This window comes from Homo sapiens, chromosome 6 (assembly GCF_000001405.40).
Source record: "Homo sapiens chromosome 6, GRCh38.p14 Primary Assembly".
Lineage (NCBI taxonomy): Eukaryota > Metazoa > Chordata > Mammalia > Primates > Hominidae > Homo > Homo sapiens.
In genome coordinates, this window is record NC_000006.12 from 15,524,725 (window position 1) to 15,545,011 (window position 20,287).

Genomic DNA, 20,287 nt, shown 5'->3' on the forward strand with positions numbered 1-20,287 from the left:
GTGAACTTCCATTGGCATTAGGCTAACTACATTGCATTTCCTAAGCTTCCTTCAAAATGGAATTTGAAGCAACGTATTAGTAGATGACATATGCCAGTCTGGCACTTTAAATGCATCCTAAATCACCCTTGGCAACTATTATTACCTTTTACACTTCCTTAATCTGTTCATCCCCAGCCCTTTGGGACGCTGAAGACTAATCTCTGCATTAAGTGAGTCCCGGCTGTTTTGAGTAGGACGCTCAGCCTGTCTCAAAGAGGCCAACATTCCTGCAGCAACAGTTAGCGACCTTCCTCCCTGCCAGCCACAGCTCTGCTTCCTGCCTACAGGTGCCCTGAACCTTCCCGGCAGGCGCACTCCTCTAATTGCAAGTGGAGTTTCCACTGGCCTTGGAACATTTCTCGGGCCTAACGGCAGAAGGGGTTTGACCTACATCTGTAAGCTGTAAGAGCTCCCTGCAGTGGAAGCACAGACTAGGAGAAAACAAAACCCAGCCCACCAGCAGACGGCGACCCCATGAAACAGCACATGCCTAGTTGGCCTCTGCCCGGGCACTGAGCACGGGATGCCCCACAGGTCTTTACTCATAGGCAAACGACCTCTATGGTCCAGAAAACCACAAGCCACGTAAGTTATCCTAGCCATGGGGAATGCCTGGCAGAAGCAAATGCAAATTATTTCTGGAAGGACTCTCCCTTAACCTTGGTTTAAACAAAGTCAATCCCAACCCAATCTGGCATTTGTAACACACATGAAATGAGCCACTCCGAGTGAAGGGCAGCAGAAACAAACATCATCCTCGCTGAAGAATATGAGATGGCTGTTCATACACCACAGTCACAGGAAAGGTGAAGTCAAAAACAAGGTGTCAAAAATAAGGACAGACATTTGAAAGCCAAATAATGACTAGGTAGAAGAGACTGAAATCTCAAACTCGGGGCACAGTCACAGCCCAATAGAAAATTAATAAACTAGAAGGCAGGATGAGTAAATCTGCCATAATGCAGCATAGAAGAACAAAGAAAGGAAATACAAGAGAGCATAAAAGGTACGAAAGATGCAGAAGCGTAGCATCTGGTCACATTTCCCCGAAGCCAAGAAGGGGAGATAACTCTATTCAAAGAAGCTGATGAGTTTCCCAAATCGATGAAAGACCTCAGGACCCAGATTTAAAAAGCAAAACATTCCAAGCAAGATCAAAGCAATCTTCACCTACACCAATTGCTTTGAAGTTGAAGAACATCAAAAGACAAAGGCTCTCTAAAAGGCAGCCAGAGAGAGAGGGCAGGCTAAGAAAGAGAAGGAAATAATTAGGATGACAGGCAACTCATGAACAACAATAATAAAAGCCAGAAGACTGCGGAGTAAGTTCAAAGAGGAGAGAGAAATGTCATCTCTAAAATGGTGTAACATTAGGTATCGTTTAAGATCCAGGAGAAAAGCAGAGACCAAGAAGAAACACGTCATTATGAGCCTGCTCTCGCTAGAGGCATAGTGAAGGAAGGGCTGAGTGCAAGAAAGCATGTTAAGCAAAGAGACGTGTGAGTGTGTGAGTTAATGTAAAACCTGGAATGGAACAGTCATAACGAGGAGTCACCAAGGCCAAATTACCCTCCTGAACAAAGACACGGGGGTGGAGAGGAGGGTGCTTAGAGCCACAGCGACGTGAGATTGCGGCTTCATCTGGGAGGAAAGTGAGTCTCATTATCCTCAGGCTCAGAAAATCACTAAAGTTCAGCACTTGAATGAGAGGTAAGAGTAATTCCTATTTTTAGTTGGGGAAAAGTATTATGGTTTAGATGATCCCATGCTTGGCGGCATCACCCTCGCCAACTGAGCCAGCCTGCTCTGCCTCGGACTTGGCCGGGGGTTGAGCCCAGCCGCACAGGGACAGCAGTTCGCTGGGCTGGATCTTCAAGGCTGAGTGGTCAGGGGAATTTGAAGGCACGCTGGTCAGGCTTGTTCTTTTTGGGGGCACGCTTCTGAGGGTTTCCTTTCTGACCTACGGAAGCCTTTCGCCAAGGCCTGTCTTTTAGATCGTGGCTTCTGACTTCAGTTTTGAAAGTTTGTCTGTGCCATCTTCTTGAAAAGGGCAGGAGAGAAAAAACTGGACTAAGAAGCATAAGAAAAGCTTTCAGGAAAATTCTGTAGCAACAAATAAGATGGTAATGGGTGTGTCAGTGATCACAGGAAATGTCAATGAGCCAAACTTGTCAGTTAAGAGATTATACAACTAAACTAAAATAAAATCTAGCTACCTTCTGTTTACAGGAGACAAATATGGAGACACAGAAACATGCAAATGTTTCTTAAAAAATGAAAAGATATAATGAGGAAACAAATAATTAAGAAGAAAGCTGATACAGCTGTATTAATATCAAAATAGATTTTAATGGGAAACAAAAGTAATATTGGGATAAAGAGTAGTACTTAATGACTTTTAAATGGTTCAATTCACCAGGAAGATAATCTAAAACTTCTATTTTTGGTTACGTTTTTAAAGTAAAAATATGGCAGAATGACAATGAAAACATAATATCCATAATCTTGGGGGCATGTCACTATACCTATTTGATGACTGACATCAGCAGTCCCAAAGTTAGTAAGAGAAATCGAAATCCCATTCTCCAATCACAATGAAATTTAGTTAGAAATTGGTAACTGCTAGGAAAACTTTCACACATCTAATTATTTTTAAAAAACATTTATAAACAGTTCACAAATCAAATATGAAATGCTAATGATAAAATTTACCCAGAAATTATGAATGTCAAAATTTGTAGGATTCAGCTAAAATGGTACCCCTGCAAGAAATCCATAGCTTTGAATGCCTTACTAGAGAGGAACGCTGAAAATCAAGCCTGAATATTCAACTTGGGTTAGAAAAAAACAATAGCCCAAAGAAAGCGACACTGAAGAGAAGTTAATGAAACAGTAGAAAGAACAAAGAAGCTGGTTCTTTAGGGGAAAAAAGCTTAAAAATGGTTATGTTCTGGGTAAGACTCATCGTAAATAGAGATGAAAGGAATAAAAGGCACATGAACAATTTTAAACATGCAAAAGCAAGCCTAACCAGGAACACAGCTAAGGGGGAGACGCACACCATGGACAACGTTATGCTGACATATCTGACAACTAAAGACAATTCCATGGAAAACTTGCCAAAATTAACGAGAAATAGTAAATCTCTATAACTATCAGAAAAAAAGAATAGGTAACTCTTCAAATAGAGTAGTCACTGGTAACAGCATTGGAGGCAAGTTCTACTCAACACTCAGGAATGCATGAGACACGTGCACTTGCAGAAAGATCCAATACCACTAAGAGGTCCAGTGTGTCTCCGTGCAGAAACTTACTGCAATTCCGCTCAAACTGTAGACAAGGTTCGTCAACAAACTTGAAACTGTAACACTTATACCAACGGACAAGACCCCAAGAAGAGTCATGGCAACTATGAAGAAAATAAATGCACACAGATGTGCAGAGCAGGTCAGGAATGGCTCCAGCAGACTCAAGCTTCACTAGAAAACATTTTCTCAGCTCCAGCACTCCTGACACTTTGTGCCAGATCGTTCTTGGTTGTGGGGTGTCCTGGGTAGTGTGGGGTGTTTAACTGCATCCCTGGCCTCTGCCCACTAGATGCCAATAGCACACCCTTACCACCCCAGGCACGACAACCAAAATGGGTCTCCAGACATTGCCAAATGTCCCCTTGGGGGCAAAAGTGTCCCCAGCTGAGAACCAACACTTGATGACTAAGTAGACTACAGTATGGTTTTGGCTCAGGGACGGGCGGCAGAAGAATGGAGCCGAAAAGAGAGGCTTGAAGATTCCTGAATATACAGAAACTGCCAAAGGTGTCGTTTCATTCCAACAGATTAGCAAAAATTTAAAAATCTGATGCTACCAAGTGCCGGCGAAGATGTAATCAGAATGTGCATATGTGGCTGAGGAGACTATAAACTGGTGCAAATGTTTTGGCAAGAAATTTGACAGCATCTAGTGAAATGAAAGACAGCCATGTCATTGTGACCAGTAATTCCTCTCCTAGTTATATACCCTAAAGAAATGGTTTCCAAAGTGTGGTCCCCTCAGCATCACCTGGTAACTTGGTTATAATGCAAATCCTCAGGCCCCACCTCACACCTGCAGTGGGCCCAGGAATCCATGTTTGAACAGCCCTCCAGGGGACTGTGGGACTGCTCAAGCCTGAGAACAGCTGGTCTTAAAGCAACTCTTACGTATATGTACAGAGAGAGAAATTATAAGAATGTCCAAGGCCGGGTGTGGTGGCTCACGCCTGTAATCCCAGCACTCTGGGAGGCCCAGGTGGGAGGATCACTCGGGCCAAGGAGTTCGAGACCAGCCTGGGCCACACAGTGAGACCCTGTCTCTCCAAAAAAATAAAAAATTAGCCCGGCATGGTGGTGCACACCTGTCGTCTCAGCTACTCGGGAGTCTGAGGTGGGAGAACCACTTGAACCCAGGAGTTCCAGACTGCAATGAGCTATGACCACGCCACTGCACTCCAGCCTGGGTGACAGTGAGACTCCATCCTAAAACAAACAAAAGTCCATGCCGGCATTGTTTTTATTAAATAAGAAAACTGGAAACACCCATCAATACATCAATGAATAAATTACATTTATTCAATGGAAATAAATATTTAAGGATGGAAATCAAATTAGAGGTGAATATATCAGTATGGATGATTCTCAAAATCATAGCACTTAGGTGCACTGTTGCCTGTTAATTCTATCTTTTCTAACTTTATTGTAATTTTATCATTAGCCCCAAACCTCGTTCTCTTCCCAGGGCACTGGGTCCACGCTGGAGCATCCCAGAGCTGATCAATCCCTCTGGAAGCAGGGACACCCCTGGCTCCATAGGATTCCATTTTGCTGAACTACTGGTTCAGAAACACAAGAGCCTGACATCTATGGGAACACAGAGCCAGAAAACCCAGGCACAGACCAGGACATCTCCGAGGTGATTTATTAATAAGTAACTGCAGGATATCCTGACACTCAGCAATAAAATCAAAGCAATAAAAATGCTTTTCTAAGAAAATGGCAGTCATGTCAGGCAGAAGATCAAACCTGGGCTAGGGCCTTACAAAACATCTAATTATATCCTAACGGCATGGAGAGGCCTGTGGGGCATGTGGTGGGGCCCAGGCCCCCTCTGCTGCTCAGCCCTCCCGGCACCGCCTTCAGTCCTCAAGCCTGAGAGCCTCTGTGCTTGGGGGGCCACCTGGCCTCAGCACCATCCAAGTGGGCACATATGTGCCTTCACCCCTTCCTCTGATGATTCTCTGGATAAAACTTTCCATGGCCTTGTCTTAATTAAGAAATGATGCTTCTGAAAGTGAAATTCCAACTGCTATTTCTGATTTAGTGGAATGAGTCCAAAACACCATGTTCGCTGTAGAGTTTTTAAAATTTTGATTGATTCTCCTAAATTAATACTAATCCTTGGAGATGAAGATTCCTCCCTAAGAAAGGTGCTGTGGCTCATCAGGCTGGGAAGTCTGAGCCGGCTCTGCACAGACGTGCGATGAGATGCCCGATTCCCGTGTGTGGCTGTCTCTCAGCTCTAGCTCAAGAGAAAGCTAAAAAGCCCAGGGCCGCCAATTTTCTTCTTCAAAGCTTTCAAAACCATATATTGGCGACATGTGCCTGATTTTTACCTTAAAAAAATGAGCCCAGCATTTTCTTGAAACTTAATCTTTGAGATACTCAAAACCACAAAAATTTAACCACTTCATATTTCCTTGCAGGTATTTCCAGCAGGTATCTGCTAGACGCGTTCTCTCTGCCAGCCCGCTGACTTGCTAGCTGTGGAGCAACTGCAGTACGTGCCCGTCCCTGTCACCAGGGGCTGGCCATCAACAGAAGCTGCTCCTTCCAAGCCGGCCACGCGTCTACTACTTCATCATCCTCTCGGGGGTGCATCCACGGCTCTCCCTACAATGGGAGCTTCCTGAGAGGCACTTTCATTTCTCTGTGCTTCCTCTGGGCTCACCAGCAAGTGCTAAACTGAAGGAAGATAGAGTTAAATTGTTTAGCAATCAGAGTTTCTATGACTGTCCATCATCACTGCATCTCTTCTATGACATGAGACATTGGTGCGATGTGTCATTATGTTCAAATGTGTGGGTCGGCCAGGGTGTATCTGTATGGACTGAATGTGTCCCCATAAAATTTGTATGTTGAAGCCCTAACCCCCAATATGAGGATATTTGGAGCTGGGGCCTTTGGGAGGTAATTAAGTTAGATGAGGTCAGATGGACATGGCCCCTGTGGTTGAGATTAGCCCTAATACCAAGAGATAGCAGAGAGCTCCACCCTACTGTTGGCCACGTGCACACATAGGGAGAAGGGGGCCGTCTATAAGCAAGGAAGAGAGCCCTCATCAGAAACCGATCGCGCCAGCATGCTGATCTTGGATCTGAGGCCTCCAGAACTGAGGGAAAATAAATGTCTGCTGTTGAAGTCACCCAGTCCATATTGTTTTGTTATGGCAGCTGGGGTAAGACAGTGTCCTTCTCGGTTTCTACCCTTAACAGGATAAAAATCCCTGGAGCAAACCCTCTCCTTCCTCCCAAAGGAGCCATGGGAAGCCACTCTCTACAATTTGCAGCAAACACGGAAGCACCAGAATCCTGCACGTATGCTCGGAGGAAACGCACAGAGGACAAATGCAGGGTCGCAGGATACAAGAATGGCAAAGGCTGACTCCAGAGAACGTTGTTAAGCTTCAAATCTATACTGTGCATTGGAAGGTAAACAAGCATCATCCACACAACTAACTGACTGCATTCACCAGCACACTCTGAAGTCTTCAACTACTGCTATTAATCTATTTTTCTCAACATTATTTTCTTTCCTCATTCTTGGATTTCTTTTTATTTATGTATTTATTTTTTGAGATGGAGTCTTGCTCTGTCGCCAGGCTGGAGTGCAGTGGCGCGATCTCAGCTCACTGCAACCTCTGCCTCCCGGGTTCAAGTGATTCTCCTGCCTCAGCCTCCTGAGTAGCTGGGACTACAGGCACATGTCACCACGCCCAGCTAATTTTTGTATTTTCAGTAGAGACGAGGTTTCACCATGTTGGCCAGGATGGTCTCCATCTCTTGACCTCGTGATCCACCCACTTCGGCCTCCCAAAGTGCTGGGATTATAGGCGTATGCCACTGCGCCTGGCCTCATTCTCGGATTTCTTTAACCTCTCCTTGGAGGGGACACAGAACTGGATGACAAGGAAGAAACACTCCTGGGAGATGTGGTTGGGGGCAGGATAGAGAGAACAAAGGCCAGGGCCAGGCAAGGCTGGGGAAAGGATGAAGGCTGAGATTTGGGGGGTGAGGGAGGTGTCCAGAAGATGATGAGACGTTCAGGAGAATGGGAGGGCAGGAAAACAGGGCAAGGTTTGGACGGGTCTCCCCGCTGCCGGGGGTCTGGTACTGCCTGTGCAGCGCAGGCTGGAGGGAAAATGTAAGCTGCCCAGTGCCGCTGCCCTGCCCACCCCTGCTGCACCTCTGAGTCACTCAGTTCTTCCAAAGGAAAAGCTGGGAAGAAGGAGTTCGGTGTCTGGACTTCTAATCAGCTTGTTCCTTACAGCACTATTTACTGAGGGAAAGATTTTAAATGTTCAGCTAGGAAAACTGGTGGAATATATTAGGATACATCATGACAAAAAGATGCAGCCTTTGACACACAACCTCTTATAGTATTTTTAACAACAGGCGGAAAGAGCCCTATGTAACATGAAGAAAAGTTAGAGACAAAGCCATATATATGTACGGTCCAGTCAGATACCAATTAGATAAGCAGACTCGACAGAGACTAGAAAGAACACACGAAAAGCAGTAACAGGGACTATTCTGTACTGGAGAATTAAGGGCTATTTTTCTTTTTTTCCATTTTGGTAATTTTGCAGGTTCTCTAGAAGCATAATTTGTGTTTGTAATCTTTTTTTTTTTTTTTTTTTTTTGAGACAGTCTCACTCTGCCACCTAGGCCGGAGTGCAGTGGTGCGATCTCGGCTCATGGCAACCTCCGCCTCCCGGGTTCAAGTGATTCCCGTGCTTCAGCCTCCTGAGTAGCTGGGATTAGAGACACGCGCCACCACGGCCGGCTAATTTTTGTATTTTAGTAGAGATGAGGTTTCACCATGTTGGCCAGGTTGGTCTCAAACTCCTGACCTCGGGTGATCTGCCTGCCTTGGCCTGCCAAAGTGCTGGGATTACAGGCGTGAGCCACCACGCCTGGCTGTATCTGTAATCTTTAGAGGTATTAAAAAAAATATATCTTCAACTAAAGCTTAGACTGATAGAAGAGGCAAAAGCAGGGCAAGAGAGAGGTGGCCCGACGCACACATTTTGGTTGCTGGGGTCTCATAACAGAACGGAACTTCTGAGGATTCTGCCCCATGCCCTGCTCTGGGGAGAGGGGTCCATCGCCACCCCGCACAGCCGGTGAGTCCCCACACCAGCAGCCCCAGCCCCCACTCGCCTCGCCGCTCTGCAATCTGCAGGTAGCCAGTGGACAGGTACTGCTCCATGTCCTGCTGGAAGGCTTCCTCAAAAAACTTCTGCCGCTCCTTCAGCTTCATTTGCTGGGTGTGCTCCATTTCCAGGACCTTCTGGGCGTGCTCTGCATCTAGTTCAGCTGAGGAAACAGAATAACTGGGGTTAGGGTTTGAAAAGGGACTGAGAGAGGAAATGGGTATAAACAGCTGCTCGCATCCACCCTCCAAGTGGATGGAGTCATGCCGCGTTTACAGACTGGGCTGGTGCCCCGACTGCGTGTACAGCTGGCCTCCTTGTCCCCCAATCTGCTGCACTTCCTCCCCCTACCTGGGCGGTCAGGGTCAGGCCCTTCGTTCCACACCTTTGCATGTGCTGTTCCCTTTGCTGGAACGACCTTCCCACCCGCATCGCCCATTCATCAGTCACAAACAGCTGTTCACCTTCCAAGACCAGCTTCTCAGGTCGTCCTTCTACTAACTCCAGTGGAGTCTGCTGCTCCATCCAGATGTTTCCACATCCCTGTGTTTAGACTTTTGCAGCTGACTTACAAAAATTGCAGTGCAATTGCTAAGGATTTGGAGTCCCTGCAAGACTGTGACCATGTATGACTCATTTCAACATGCTGTCACTCAGCTCAGAGCCTGGCACACAGTAAGCTCTCAAGGTATGTTTGTTAAAAGTATGTAACAGTAGAATACTATTCACCCTTAAAAAGGAGGGATATTCTGACACACGCTGTAACTTGGATGAACCTGGAGCACATATGCTAAGTGCAGTAAGCCGGAGTCACGAAAAGGCAAATGCTGTGTGCTTCCAGCCAGTCGCGAAAAGGCAAATGCTGTGTGCTTCCACTCATATGAGGTACCTAGAGCAGTCAGATGGATGGAGACACGAAGTGTGCTCTCAGGGCTGGGGAGAGGGCGTGGGAGCTTAGTGGTTAATGGGTACAGATTTTCAGTTTTACAAGACGAAAGACATCTGGAGATGGATGGTAGTGATGGATGCACAGCATGAATATATTTAATACCACTCAGCTGGACACTTATGAATTCTATGTACACATAAAATGGTAAATTTTATGTGTACTTTACCACAGTAAAAAGTTGGGAACAGGGCCGGGCGCGGTGGCTCACGCCTATAATCCCAGCCCTTTGGGAGGCCGAGGCAGGCGGATCACCTGAGGTAAGGAGTTCGAGACCAGCCTGGCCAATATGGTAAAACCGTAAAACCCCATCTCTACTAAAAATACAAAAATTAGCCAGGCATGGTGGCAGTCACCTGTATTCCCAGCTACTCAGGAGACTGAGGCAGGAGAATCACTTGAACCCAGGAGGCAGAGGTTGCAGTGAGCCAAGATCTTGCCACTGCACTCCAGCCTGGGAGACAGAGCGAGACTCTGTCTCAAAAAAAAAAAAAAAAAAAAGCTTGGGAACAAAAAAAGTAAGTATGTAGCCATCATGGTGTATTACAAAGTGCTTAATCTTGGCTTTTTAGTGTTTACTGACCACACAACCTAATCAGTTAACCTTCTCATCTGAAAATTTGGGATAGAAATATTAACCCAATATTGATATGAAACATATGAAAGGATGTGAAAAAATTTTATAATTTAAGGGACCAGTGACCCTTCAAGGTAAGCCTTAGTAATATACAAGGCAAGAACACTAACATAATTAACCTTCACCTGGTCATTCAAGCAAGAACCCCAAATCTCCCAGCTATAAACACTTTCCAGTAGTTTAACTTTTCCTCAAGGCACGTGATATGGTTTAGCTCTGTGTTCCCACCCAAATCTCATATCGAATTGTAATTCTCACATGTCAGGGGAGGGAAGTGATTGGGTCATGGGGGCAGTCTCCCCCATGCTGTTCTCGTGATAGTGAGTAGTTCTCACTAGATCTGATGGTTGTGTAAGTGTCTGACAGTTCCTCCTTCACATGCTCATACTCTCCACCTTGTGAAGGAGCCTGCTTCCCCTTCTGCCATGATCATAAGTTTCCTGAGGCCTCCCCAGCCATGCAGAGCTGTGAGTCAATTAAACCTCCTTTGTTTATAAATTACCTATTTTTTTTGAGACAGAGTCTTACTCTGTTCCCCAAGCTGAAGTGCAGTGACAGTGGTGCGATCTCAGTTCACTGCAACCTCTGCCTCCTGGGTTCAAGCAATTATTGTGCCTCAGCCTCCCAAGTAGCTGGGATTACAGGAGCACGCCACTATGCCCAGCTAATTTTTTGTATTTTTAGTAGAGATGGAGTTTTGCCATGTTGGTCAGGCTGGTCTCAAACTCCTACCTCAAGTGATCTGCCTGCCTCGGCCTCCCAAAGTGCTGGAACTACAGGTGTGAGCAACCTCACCCAGCCTCAGGTATTTCTTTATAGCAGTGTGAATATTGACTAATGCAGCAAATTGGTACTGGAGAGAGTGGGGTATTGATATAAAGATACTTGAAAATGTGGAAGGGACTTTGGAACTGGGTTACGGGTAGAGGTTGGAACAGTCTGGAGGGCTCAGAAAAAGACAGGAAGATATGGGAAACTCTGGAACCTCCTAGAGACTTGTGGAATGGTTTCAACCAAAATGCTGATAGTGATGTGAACAATGAAGTCCAGACTGAGGTGGTCTCAGATGGAGATGAGGAACTTATTGGGAACTGGAGTAAAGGTCACTCATGCTATGCTTTAGCAGACTGGTGGCATTTTGCCATGCCTTTGAGATCTGTGGAACCTTGAACTTGAGAGCAATGATTAAGGGTATCTGGTGGAAGAAATTTCTAAGCAGTAAAGCATTCAAGACATGACCTGGATTATTCTGAAAGCTTTCAGTTTTATGTGTTCACAAGGAGATAGTTTGAACTTGGAGCTTATGTTTACAAGAAAAGCAAAACATAAAAGTTTAGAAAATCTGTAGCCTGACAATGCGACAGAAAAGAAAAACCCATTTTCTGGGGAGAAATTCAAGCCAGCTGCAGAAATTTGCATAAGTAATAAGGAGTTGAATGTTAAGTGCCAAGACAATGCGGAAAATGTCTCCTGGGCATGTCAGAGATTTTGGCAGCAGCCTCTCCCATCACAGGCCCTGAGGCCTAGGAGGAAAAATAGTTTTGTGGGCCAGGCCCAGGGGCCAGCTGCTCTGTGCAGCCTTGGGATATGGCACCCTGCATTCCAGCCACTCTAACTACAGCCGTGGCTAAAAGGGGCCAAGGTACAGCTTGGGCTATTGCTTCAGAGGGTGCAAGCCACAAGCCTTGGCAGCTTCCACATGCTGTTAGGCCTGCGGGTGCACGGAAGTCAAGAATTGAGGTTTGGAAACCTTGGCCTAGATCTCCCAGGATGTATGGAAATGCCTGGATGTCCAGGCAAAAGTCTGCTGCAGGGACACAGCCCTCATGGAGATCTCTATTAGGGCAGTGCAAATGGTAAATGTGGGGTTGCTGCCCCACCACCTCCACAGAGTCCCCACTGGGGCACTGCCTAGTGGAGCTGTGAGAAGAGGGCCACTGCCCTCCAGAGCCCAGAATGGTAGATCCACTGACAGCTTGCACCATGAATCTGGAAAAGATGCAGGCATTCAATGCCAACCCATGAAGGAGCTGCCCAAGGCCATGGGAGCCACCCCTGTAACCTGGAAGTAAGGCATGAAGTCAGAGGAGATTATTTTGGAGCTTTAAGATTTAATGACTGCCCTGCTGGATTTCAGACTTGCTTGGGGCCTGTAGACCCTTTGTTTTGGCCAATTTCTCCCATTTGGAATGGGAACATTGATCCAATGCCTGTACACCCATTGTATCTTGGAAGTAACTAACTTGCTTTTGACTTTATGGGCTCCTAGGCTAGACATTTGCCTTGTGTCACATGAGACTTTGGACTTAAGACTTTTGGCTTAGGCCGGGCGCGGTGGCTCACGCCTGTAATCCCAACACTTTGGGAGACCAAGGCGGACAGATCACGAGGTCAGGAGTTCAAGACCAGCCTGACTAACATGGTGGTCATGTATTTTTTGTAAAAATACAAAAAAAAATTAGCTGGGCATGGTGGTGCATGCCTGTAATCCCAGCTACTTGGGAGGCTGAGGCAGGAGAACTGCTCGAACCAGGACCCAGGAGGCAGAGGTTGCAGTGAGCCAAGATCACGCTACTGCACTCCAGCCTGGGCGACAGCGTGAGACTGCATCTCAAAAAAAAAAAAAATACGACTTTTGGGTTAATGCTGGAATGAGTTAAGACTTTGGGAGACTGTTGGGAAGGCATGATTGGTTTTGAATGTGAAAAGACATGAGATTTGGGAGGGGCCTGGGGCAGAATAATATAGTTTGGCTCTGTGTCCCCACCCAAATCTCATCTCAAATTGTAATCCCTACGCTGAGGAAGGGAGTAATTGGATCATGGAGGCAGTTTCGCCCATGCTGTTCCTGTGATAGTGACTAGTCCTCACGAGATCTGACGGTTTTGTGTTTGACAGTTCCTTCCCACGCTCACACTCTCTCCTACTGCCTTGTGAAGAAGGTGACTGCTTCCCCTTCTGCCATGATTGTAACTTTGCTGAGGCCTCCCCAGCTATGCAGAACTGTGAGTCAATTAAACCTCCTTTGTTTATAAATTACCCCTCTCAGCTATTTCTTTATAGCTGTGTGAAAATGGACTCATACAGCATGTACAGAGAATACAAAAAATGAAATCAGGGTCAGACATTTACCATTTTTGACCTGGTACATGGGTAAAGGATTACTTCTAAACTTGCTTTTAGATCTTAAATCCTTTGTACTTCACAGGGGTGCAGGGAGAATCCTGAGGTGGCTCTGAGACCTGCTCCCTGGTGTACCTGCTCTGCACTCCCTAGGCCTGGGGCTGGGATGGATTTTACCCTGTGCCTAGGTGATGTCCATGGCACAGCTGACTCCTTAAAGGGGGAACATCTGGGTGAGCCTGGCCTAGCTAGGCTTGTGAAGGGCACTGGGCCTTCTTGGAGAAAGATGTGAAGCGTGACAGGGATTTGACACAGGGCCATTATCTGTTGCTGGGTTGGAGGATGGAGGGGGCCACGTGGAAAGGAATGTGGGTAGCATCCTGGGGCTGAGAGCATCCCCGGGCTGACAGCAGGTGAAAGAAAAGGGGCCTCCATCCCACAATCACTAGGTGCCTGAACTCTGGCAATGACCTGAAGGGCCCTCACACAGATTCTTCTCCAGTGCCTCCAGAAAACAACGCAGCTCTGCGACCCCTGATCTCAGCCTCATGGAATACTGGGCAGAGAATCCAGTCACAGCTTGCCTACACTTCTGCCCTACAAACTGGAAGCTGATAAATTTGTTTCATTTTAAACTGTTATGTTTGTGGTTATCTATTACACAGCAATATGGGCTTATTCCAAACAGGCTGTATGAATTCAGGTCCCTGACCAAATCTGGTTGACTGTAAAAATGAAAAAGGACAACCTGAGTGCCTTACCTTACGTAAATATTTCCTAACTCCTGCCCTGTGTCTGTGGCAGACACCCTGCTCCGCTGAGTTTGGGTGCTATTACTCCGGAAAATCTAGTCATCTGCAGAAACCATTTCAGCTACCTTCTGTCCTGGGATACACTGTAACAAACCATTTCACCCAAGGCATTGTTTCCTCTGGTTCAGCTCAGGGGAGTATCAACATCTTAGGGGTGTTATCAAGATTGTTAACAAAACAAACGCAGCAGCTCTTACCATGGACAATGGTGAATGAGGTCCGTTATCTGCCTTAGTCCCTGCCCATCCCCACATTCCCAGCACCACACTCTCAACTCCGGAGTCCAGCAAGCTGGTATGCATGGCAGACCTTAAAACCCAGTGATGGAGTTTATCATCTCAAATCAGGTACAGTGTCTAATACTTAGAATACTATGGGCTTTCTTCTTATATTCTGATCTACATACATGCAAGAAACACAAACTAATGCTAACCAAAGCAACATAGGAAAAGTAAATATTCCTAATTAGCATGTAATCACATGCATAGTATTTCCTCTGTGCATTCTGCTCATACTGTTGCCAGTACTGGGTGCCCTCTCTCCATTTCCTGCTACCTCATCCCACATGTGTTTACGTGAAGACGGTCTGCCACAGTGGGAAGAGTTTCTTGTGCTCACAGGTTTTGGGCTAGGCCCAACTCAGGTCCTACACTCCTAGCGCCTCTTGGCACAGCCCTCTGGTCTACCTCTACGTTCAGCTGCAGCTATGGAAGCCAGTTCTGTGTGCGCTCATTGGGATGCACAGAGGGTCCCACCTCACAGCCACGCCTGTGTGGCTGTTTTTCTGGTCAGAGTATTCTCTGAATCTCAGGGAACCTAGCCAGCACAGCCCAGTTTTGTGGAATTAAGGCAGTTCTCAACCAACATGTGACAGAGGTCAGTGTCTCAGGACCCTGGTCTAACATCCTTTGGGTGGACGATTCTAGGAGGCGTTCTCAACACTTCTCAGAGATCCTGGTACGACGGCACATCCTCACTGGCTTTAGCAGCTTCCTGCTTTTAGCTTCTTTTCCTCGCTGTCTCACTTTCCCTGTCCCTCGCTCCTGCTTCTTGGAATCGCCTCCCAAAGGACCTGCAGCTAAATCCTCTTCAGGATTTAGTCTCAGACTCTTTTTCCACATAACTGATTTCACCAGAGTTGCAACTTCTCCTCCATACAAGTGCGGTAAAAACACCTATTTCGTAAGGTTGTTGGCAGGATTAAATGAGGTAGCAAATACGAATCACCAAGCATACAATGTTGGCCAATAGCTGGCAGCTAATATTAATACCAGCATTATTTAAACAACAGCCTCTTGAAGAGGGAGCAACACCAAATATTACCAAGAACCAGGACTCACTATGCACTGAAAATCACCTGCTCTGGGCCCCACTCAGATGCTTAAGAATTAGTTACCTTTCAGTACTCTTAATAAATCTGCAAGGAATTTAGAGTGTACTCGTAAGAAAAAAAAATGAACTGAAGAGGATGTCTTTTCATTTGTTTCACTTCAGTTGTCAACATATCTGTTCAAATGATTCATGGCTGCCAAGTGCATTAGAATAAGTCAACCCTAAAATACATTAAGTATGCTTCAACTGCTTCAAAGTTCAGCTAATCTTCTTTTGAAAAATAATTCCAGAATAGGCAGCTCAAAACCAAAGATCAATGCAGAAATCATCAAAGGGGTTTTAATTAAAGAATATCTTGTTTTAACAGAATTAAGATTTTCTGTAGATATATAACATAAAAAACATTTTTCTCAAGACTACTTCTGCTTTAAAAGTTTGATTCTCTCGTGTTGCTGAATTATTGGCCCTTCAGTTTATCTCAGTTTTTTCTACATCAGAATGAAATCCAATCATGTCTCGACCTTCACAAGGGAGGAGGGGTTAGATTAGGAAACTTAAAATGACTTTTTTCTTTTTTGACATGGAGTCTTGCTCTGTCGTCCAGGCTGGAGTGCAGTGGCGCGATCTCGGCTCACTGCAAGCTCTGCCTCCCAGGTTCACGCCATTCTCCTGCCTCAGCCTCCCGAGTAGCTGGGACTACAGGTGCATGCTGCCACTGCCAGCTAATTTTTTTGTATTTTTAGTAGAGACAGGGTTTCACCATGTTAGACAAGATGGTCTCGATCTCCTGACCTCGTGATCCGCCTGCCTTGGCCTCCCAAAGTGCTGGGATTACAGGTGTGAGCCAATGTGCCTGGCCTTAAAATGACTTATAAAAAATAGGAGAAAACAATCACTGTTTTAAGTTTTAAAACATGTTCCTCACTAGGTATCTGAAACATCCCCAGCTGTCCCCACCAGCTCCCCACTTCATTTCAGAGCCCTTTTTGTATCTCGGGGCTAAGCACTAAGCCAGCTTCACTGAGGACCGAGTATAGTTGCACCACACCAGCCACTATTCAGGATGACTATGAAAAAGCACAAAGCGGGCATTTAAAAATAACTTTGCTGCCCAACAGCTAAGAGACATTTGCCCTCAGCGACGTGACTGAATGAGGATGTTCTAATTGTGCTGTGTGTACTGAAATCATCAATTGGGCCTGCATCAAGAAAACAACCAAATATGGGAGAGGTGAAATGATGGGAGGATATTTGAAGGAAAAATTTCAAATCTAGGGGTTTAACAGCATCTGAATTTTAGAATGAGGACTGAAAAATCTAAATTACAGAACATTTTCTACAAGGAAAAATGACCCCTTGCTCACATTAAGATGCCATTTATTATACTGGGGAAAGCCAGACAAATACAAAGATGTTAAGAGCTTCAACAAATGGACTTCAGATTAAAAGAAAAAAAATCAAAACAAGATGCAGTAGTTTTTCTACGACGAGTCAAGAGTAATCATTTAATTCCATTATCACCTCAGGCCTATGTCTTTTTATTTCAACTCCAGATCATTGCTCAAGTTTTATCTGACTGCAACTTCCACTTTAGTTACCACTATCAATTTCAAATGCTTACTTACTCAAAACAACAAAAAATTCCATTACCAGTGAAGACGGAATAATCAATTCTCAATTATACGTTTTAATGGGGCATAAGGGTGGCACAAGATATATGAAATTAAAAAAAACCAAGTTCATTTCAGGAACATATTCAACATACTCTACAACTAAGCCTTTTAACCGAGATAGGTAATAAATATAGTGAGGTGTTAATGACCGAAAAAGGCCCCCAAACCTCTGGGAGTCATGTATAGAAAACTAGGATAAGCCTCTCTCTTAAGAGTTCAAAATGTTAAAAGAGAAACAGTAACACTTACTACATATGAATTGAGAAAAATTCTAGTAATCTCTCTATTAAAGATTAAGAGCATTGTTCATTAGAGATAAATAAGACTAAGAATAAACTTTAAAAACTAACTTCAATATTTACAATTCAGGTGTTTTTATATTGAGTTAGGAAATATGAGTTTTGTGATATTAAAATACATGTGACATGATCAAGAGAGAACTGTGAAATATCTGTAAGTCTCTAAACAATTTTCTGAATACAAATAAACATCTCTTCAAGCTGTTTTTTGATAAAAACAATTGCCAACAGTCTGTCAAATTACATAACCACTAGAAGACATTAAATTCTGTCAATGTGACAGATTTTAAAAATTGGGACCTATGATTTGTTTTGTTTTTTGTTTTTTGTTTTTTTTAGACGGAATCTCACTCTGTCACCAGGCTGGAGTGCAGTGGTACGATTTTGGCTCACTGCAATCTCGGCCTCCCTGGTTCAAGCCATTCTCCTGCCTCAGCCTCCTGAGTAGCTGGGATTACAGGCACACGCCACCACACCCAGCTAATTTTCGTATTTTTAGTAGAGACAGGGTTTCACATTGTTTGACAGGATGGTCTCGATCTCCTGACCTTTTGATCCACCCGCCTCGGCCTCCCAAAGTGCTAGGATTACAGGTGTGAGCCATCGCACCTGGCCAAATTTTTTATGCTTCTAATTATTTGCATTTTTTTCTTTTTAGACAGAGTCTCACTCTATTGCCCAGGCTGGAGTAAAATGGCACGATCTTGGCTCACTGCAACCTCCACCTCCTGGGTTTAAGTGATTCTTGTGTCTCAGCCTCCCGAGTAGCCGAGTAGCTAAGACTACAGATGTGCACAACCACACCTGGCTCATTTTTGTATTTTTAGTGGAGACAGGGTTTCACCATGTTGGCCAGGCTGGTCTTGAACTCCTGACCTCAGGTGATCCGCCCACCTGAGTCTCCCAAAGTGCTGGGATTACAGGCATGAGACACCGTGCCCGGCCTATCTGCATTTATTTAATAGGGTATTTTTGATGCATGAACTATGTACACTGAGGAAAATTTTTAGCCATAAAAAATTATTTATTCCACAAATAATAGGGTGAAAGTCCCTATTTTAGGGGACTTTTCCTATTATAGATGACTACAACTAGCACATTTTGGTGTATACCCATCAGGGATTTTTCCCCCCATTAGGATGACTATATGAAATTGCAATACTCAATTTTTAAAGCTTTTTACTTCGAAATAATTATAGGTTCATAGGATGTTACCTAGAAATGTACATCCTGAATGTCCCTCAGTGCTAACATCTTACATAATTCTGGTATAAGGTCAAAACCCAACAATTAACATGGGTACAATCCACAAAGCTTATTCAGATTTCACCAGTCACACATGCGCTGTGCGTGCAGATGGGCATACAGCTCCATGCAGTCTTACTACATGCATAGCCTTGTGTAAGCACTACATCAATACAGTACCACCGTAAGACTCCCTCAGGTTCCCCTTGCAGGATACAGTAAATTCCTCTTCAAAGTTTAGCCTGTTAACTTCCTTTAAAATTCAAGAAGGAGAAAAATTGTTAAGTACAATAAGTTCTGAGTTCTTCTTCAAAGAACCAATATGTCAGTATGTTCAGCTTCCCTGTTCTTTGTTCTCCATTTTAAAGTTTAACTTCCTCATTCTTTACTCTCCTTGCCCCTAGTTTCAGTAAATGACCCCCTCCTAGCCTCTGTCACCTGTTCTGTCCTTAGGCATCCTTAGTCACCTGTTCTGTAACTGTCCTTTCCACCAAAACTACTCACCCTGCCACTCCGGCTCATACCCTTGCTCTCTTTAAAAGAGACAATTGGAATTAGCTTAGACTGTGCAGTCCAACCCTAGCCAATAGGGGAAAGACACAGCAGTAGGAGCTAGCGGCATTAGGAATAAGACCCCTTCCCCTTCCTTGTCTGGTGTGCTCTCGCCATTGTTCCATCCACAAGATACACCCTTCTATAGAAGTAAATTGCCTTGCTGAGAAAACTTTTGCCTGAGTGTCATTTTCACTTGGTGACACCAAGCATTTACTTCCAACACCTCTTATAGCCATGCCCTCCTTCCCCAAACACTCAGCTGGACTCCAAATCTATAATTATGTTATTTCATATGTTATGTAAGTGGAATCATGTACTATATATCCTTCTGAGACTCGCTTTTTTCACTCAGCATAATTGCCTTGGGGTTTCTCCAAGCTACAGCACATAATAATCTGTTCCCTTTTATTATTGAGTAGAATTTTATGGTATGGATGTACCACAGTTTGTTTAACCATTCACCCACTGAATGGCTGTTTCCAACTTTTGGCTATTATGAATAAAGCTGTCATGAACATTTGTGTATGAGTTCCTACATGAAAATAAGTACTTTCTCTTGCATAAATGCCCAAGAGTGCAACTGCTGGGTCATACGGTAAGTTCATTTTTCGGTTTTGAAAGGAACTGCCAAACTCTTTTCCAGAGTAGCTATTCCATTTTACATCCCCATCATCACTGTGTGAGTCAGCTAGTTTCTCTGCATCTTTGCCAGCATTTGCTGGGACTTACTAATTGTAACACAGGTTGAGTATCCCTGCGCTGAAATCTGAAGCTTTTTGAGCACCTACCTGATTCTAACAGGAGATGCTCATGGGAGCATTTAGGATTTCAGTTTTTTGTTTTAGCCATGCTCAACCAGTAAGTGCATACTGCAAATATTCCAAAATCGGAAAAAATCCAAAACCTGCAACACTTCTAGTCCCAAGTATTTCAGATAAGGGATATGTAATTGTACAGACTGTTTCCTTTTCTCTCTCTTTTCTCCAGAATGTGGATGCCTGTCAGAAACAAGTTTCAGCTTCCTTTTAAATATTTTCAATAATTGCTGTTTCCAAAGGTACTTTTAGTTCCCTGAGCTTAGTAAAATATATTTTAGAAAAATTTTGTTCAGAAACTGAGGACTTGTTAGACAATGACAAAATACACAATATTTCCTT

At 44.5% G+C, this 20,287-nt stretch overlaps 1 protein-coding gene and 1 long non-coding RNA gene across 12 annotated transcripts in view, besides 1 other annotated feature; one reads left to right on the forward strand and one right to left on the reverse strand.

The window, feature by feature from the left end:
* DTNBP1 (dystrobrevin binding protein 1) overlaps window positions 1-20,287 on the reverse strand; it is a 140,252-nt gene that overhangs the window by 1,918 nt on the left and 118,047 nt on the right. For all 9 annotated transcript variants that reach the window (NR_036448.3, NM_001271669.2, NM_001271668.2 and 6 more), the window contains one exon: window positions 8,516-8,671. Coding sequence is in view for 8 of the 9 variants with exons in the window: in NM_001271669.2 (NP_001258598.1) it covers window positions 8,516-8,671 (156 nt within the window). In the remaining variant the exon portion in view is untranslated. The remainder of the gene's footprint in view (window positions 1-8,515; window positions 8,672-20,287) is intronic.
* Window positions 1,610-19,647, forward strand: LOC105374947 (uncharacterized). Of its 3 annotated transcripts, XR_007059475.1 has the most exons (4): window positions 1,610-4,989; window positions 5,780-9,196; window positions 12,990-13,096; window positions 13,664-19,647. It is a non-coding gene; the product is annotated as an uncharacterized LOC105374947 (long non-coding RNA). The 3 variants fall into 3 exon arrangements; XR_007059474.1 differs by lacking the exons at window positions 12,990-13,096; window positions 13,664-19,647 and having other exon boundaries at window positions 1,610-1,752; window positions 4,792-4,989; window positions 5,780-6,498; XR_007059476.1 differs by lacking the exons at window positions 12,990-13,096; window positions 13,664-19,647 and having other exon boundaries at window positions 1,610-1,752; window positions 4,816-4,989; window positions 5,780-6,498.
* Window positions 10,320-10,520: a silencer, noted in NCBI's record as "peak5680 fragment used in MPRA reporter construct". NCBI's record gives its function as "represses an SCP1 promoter by STARR-seq MPRAs in K562 erythroleukemia cells {active_cell/tissue: K562}" and the evidence as "EXISTENCE:reporter gene assay evidence [ECO:0000049][PMID:32103011]".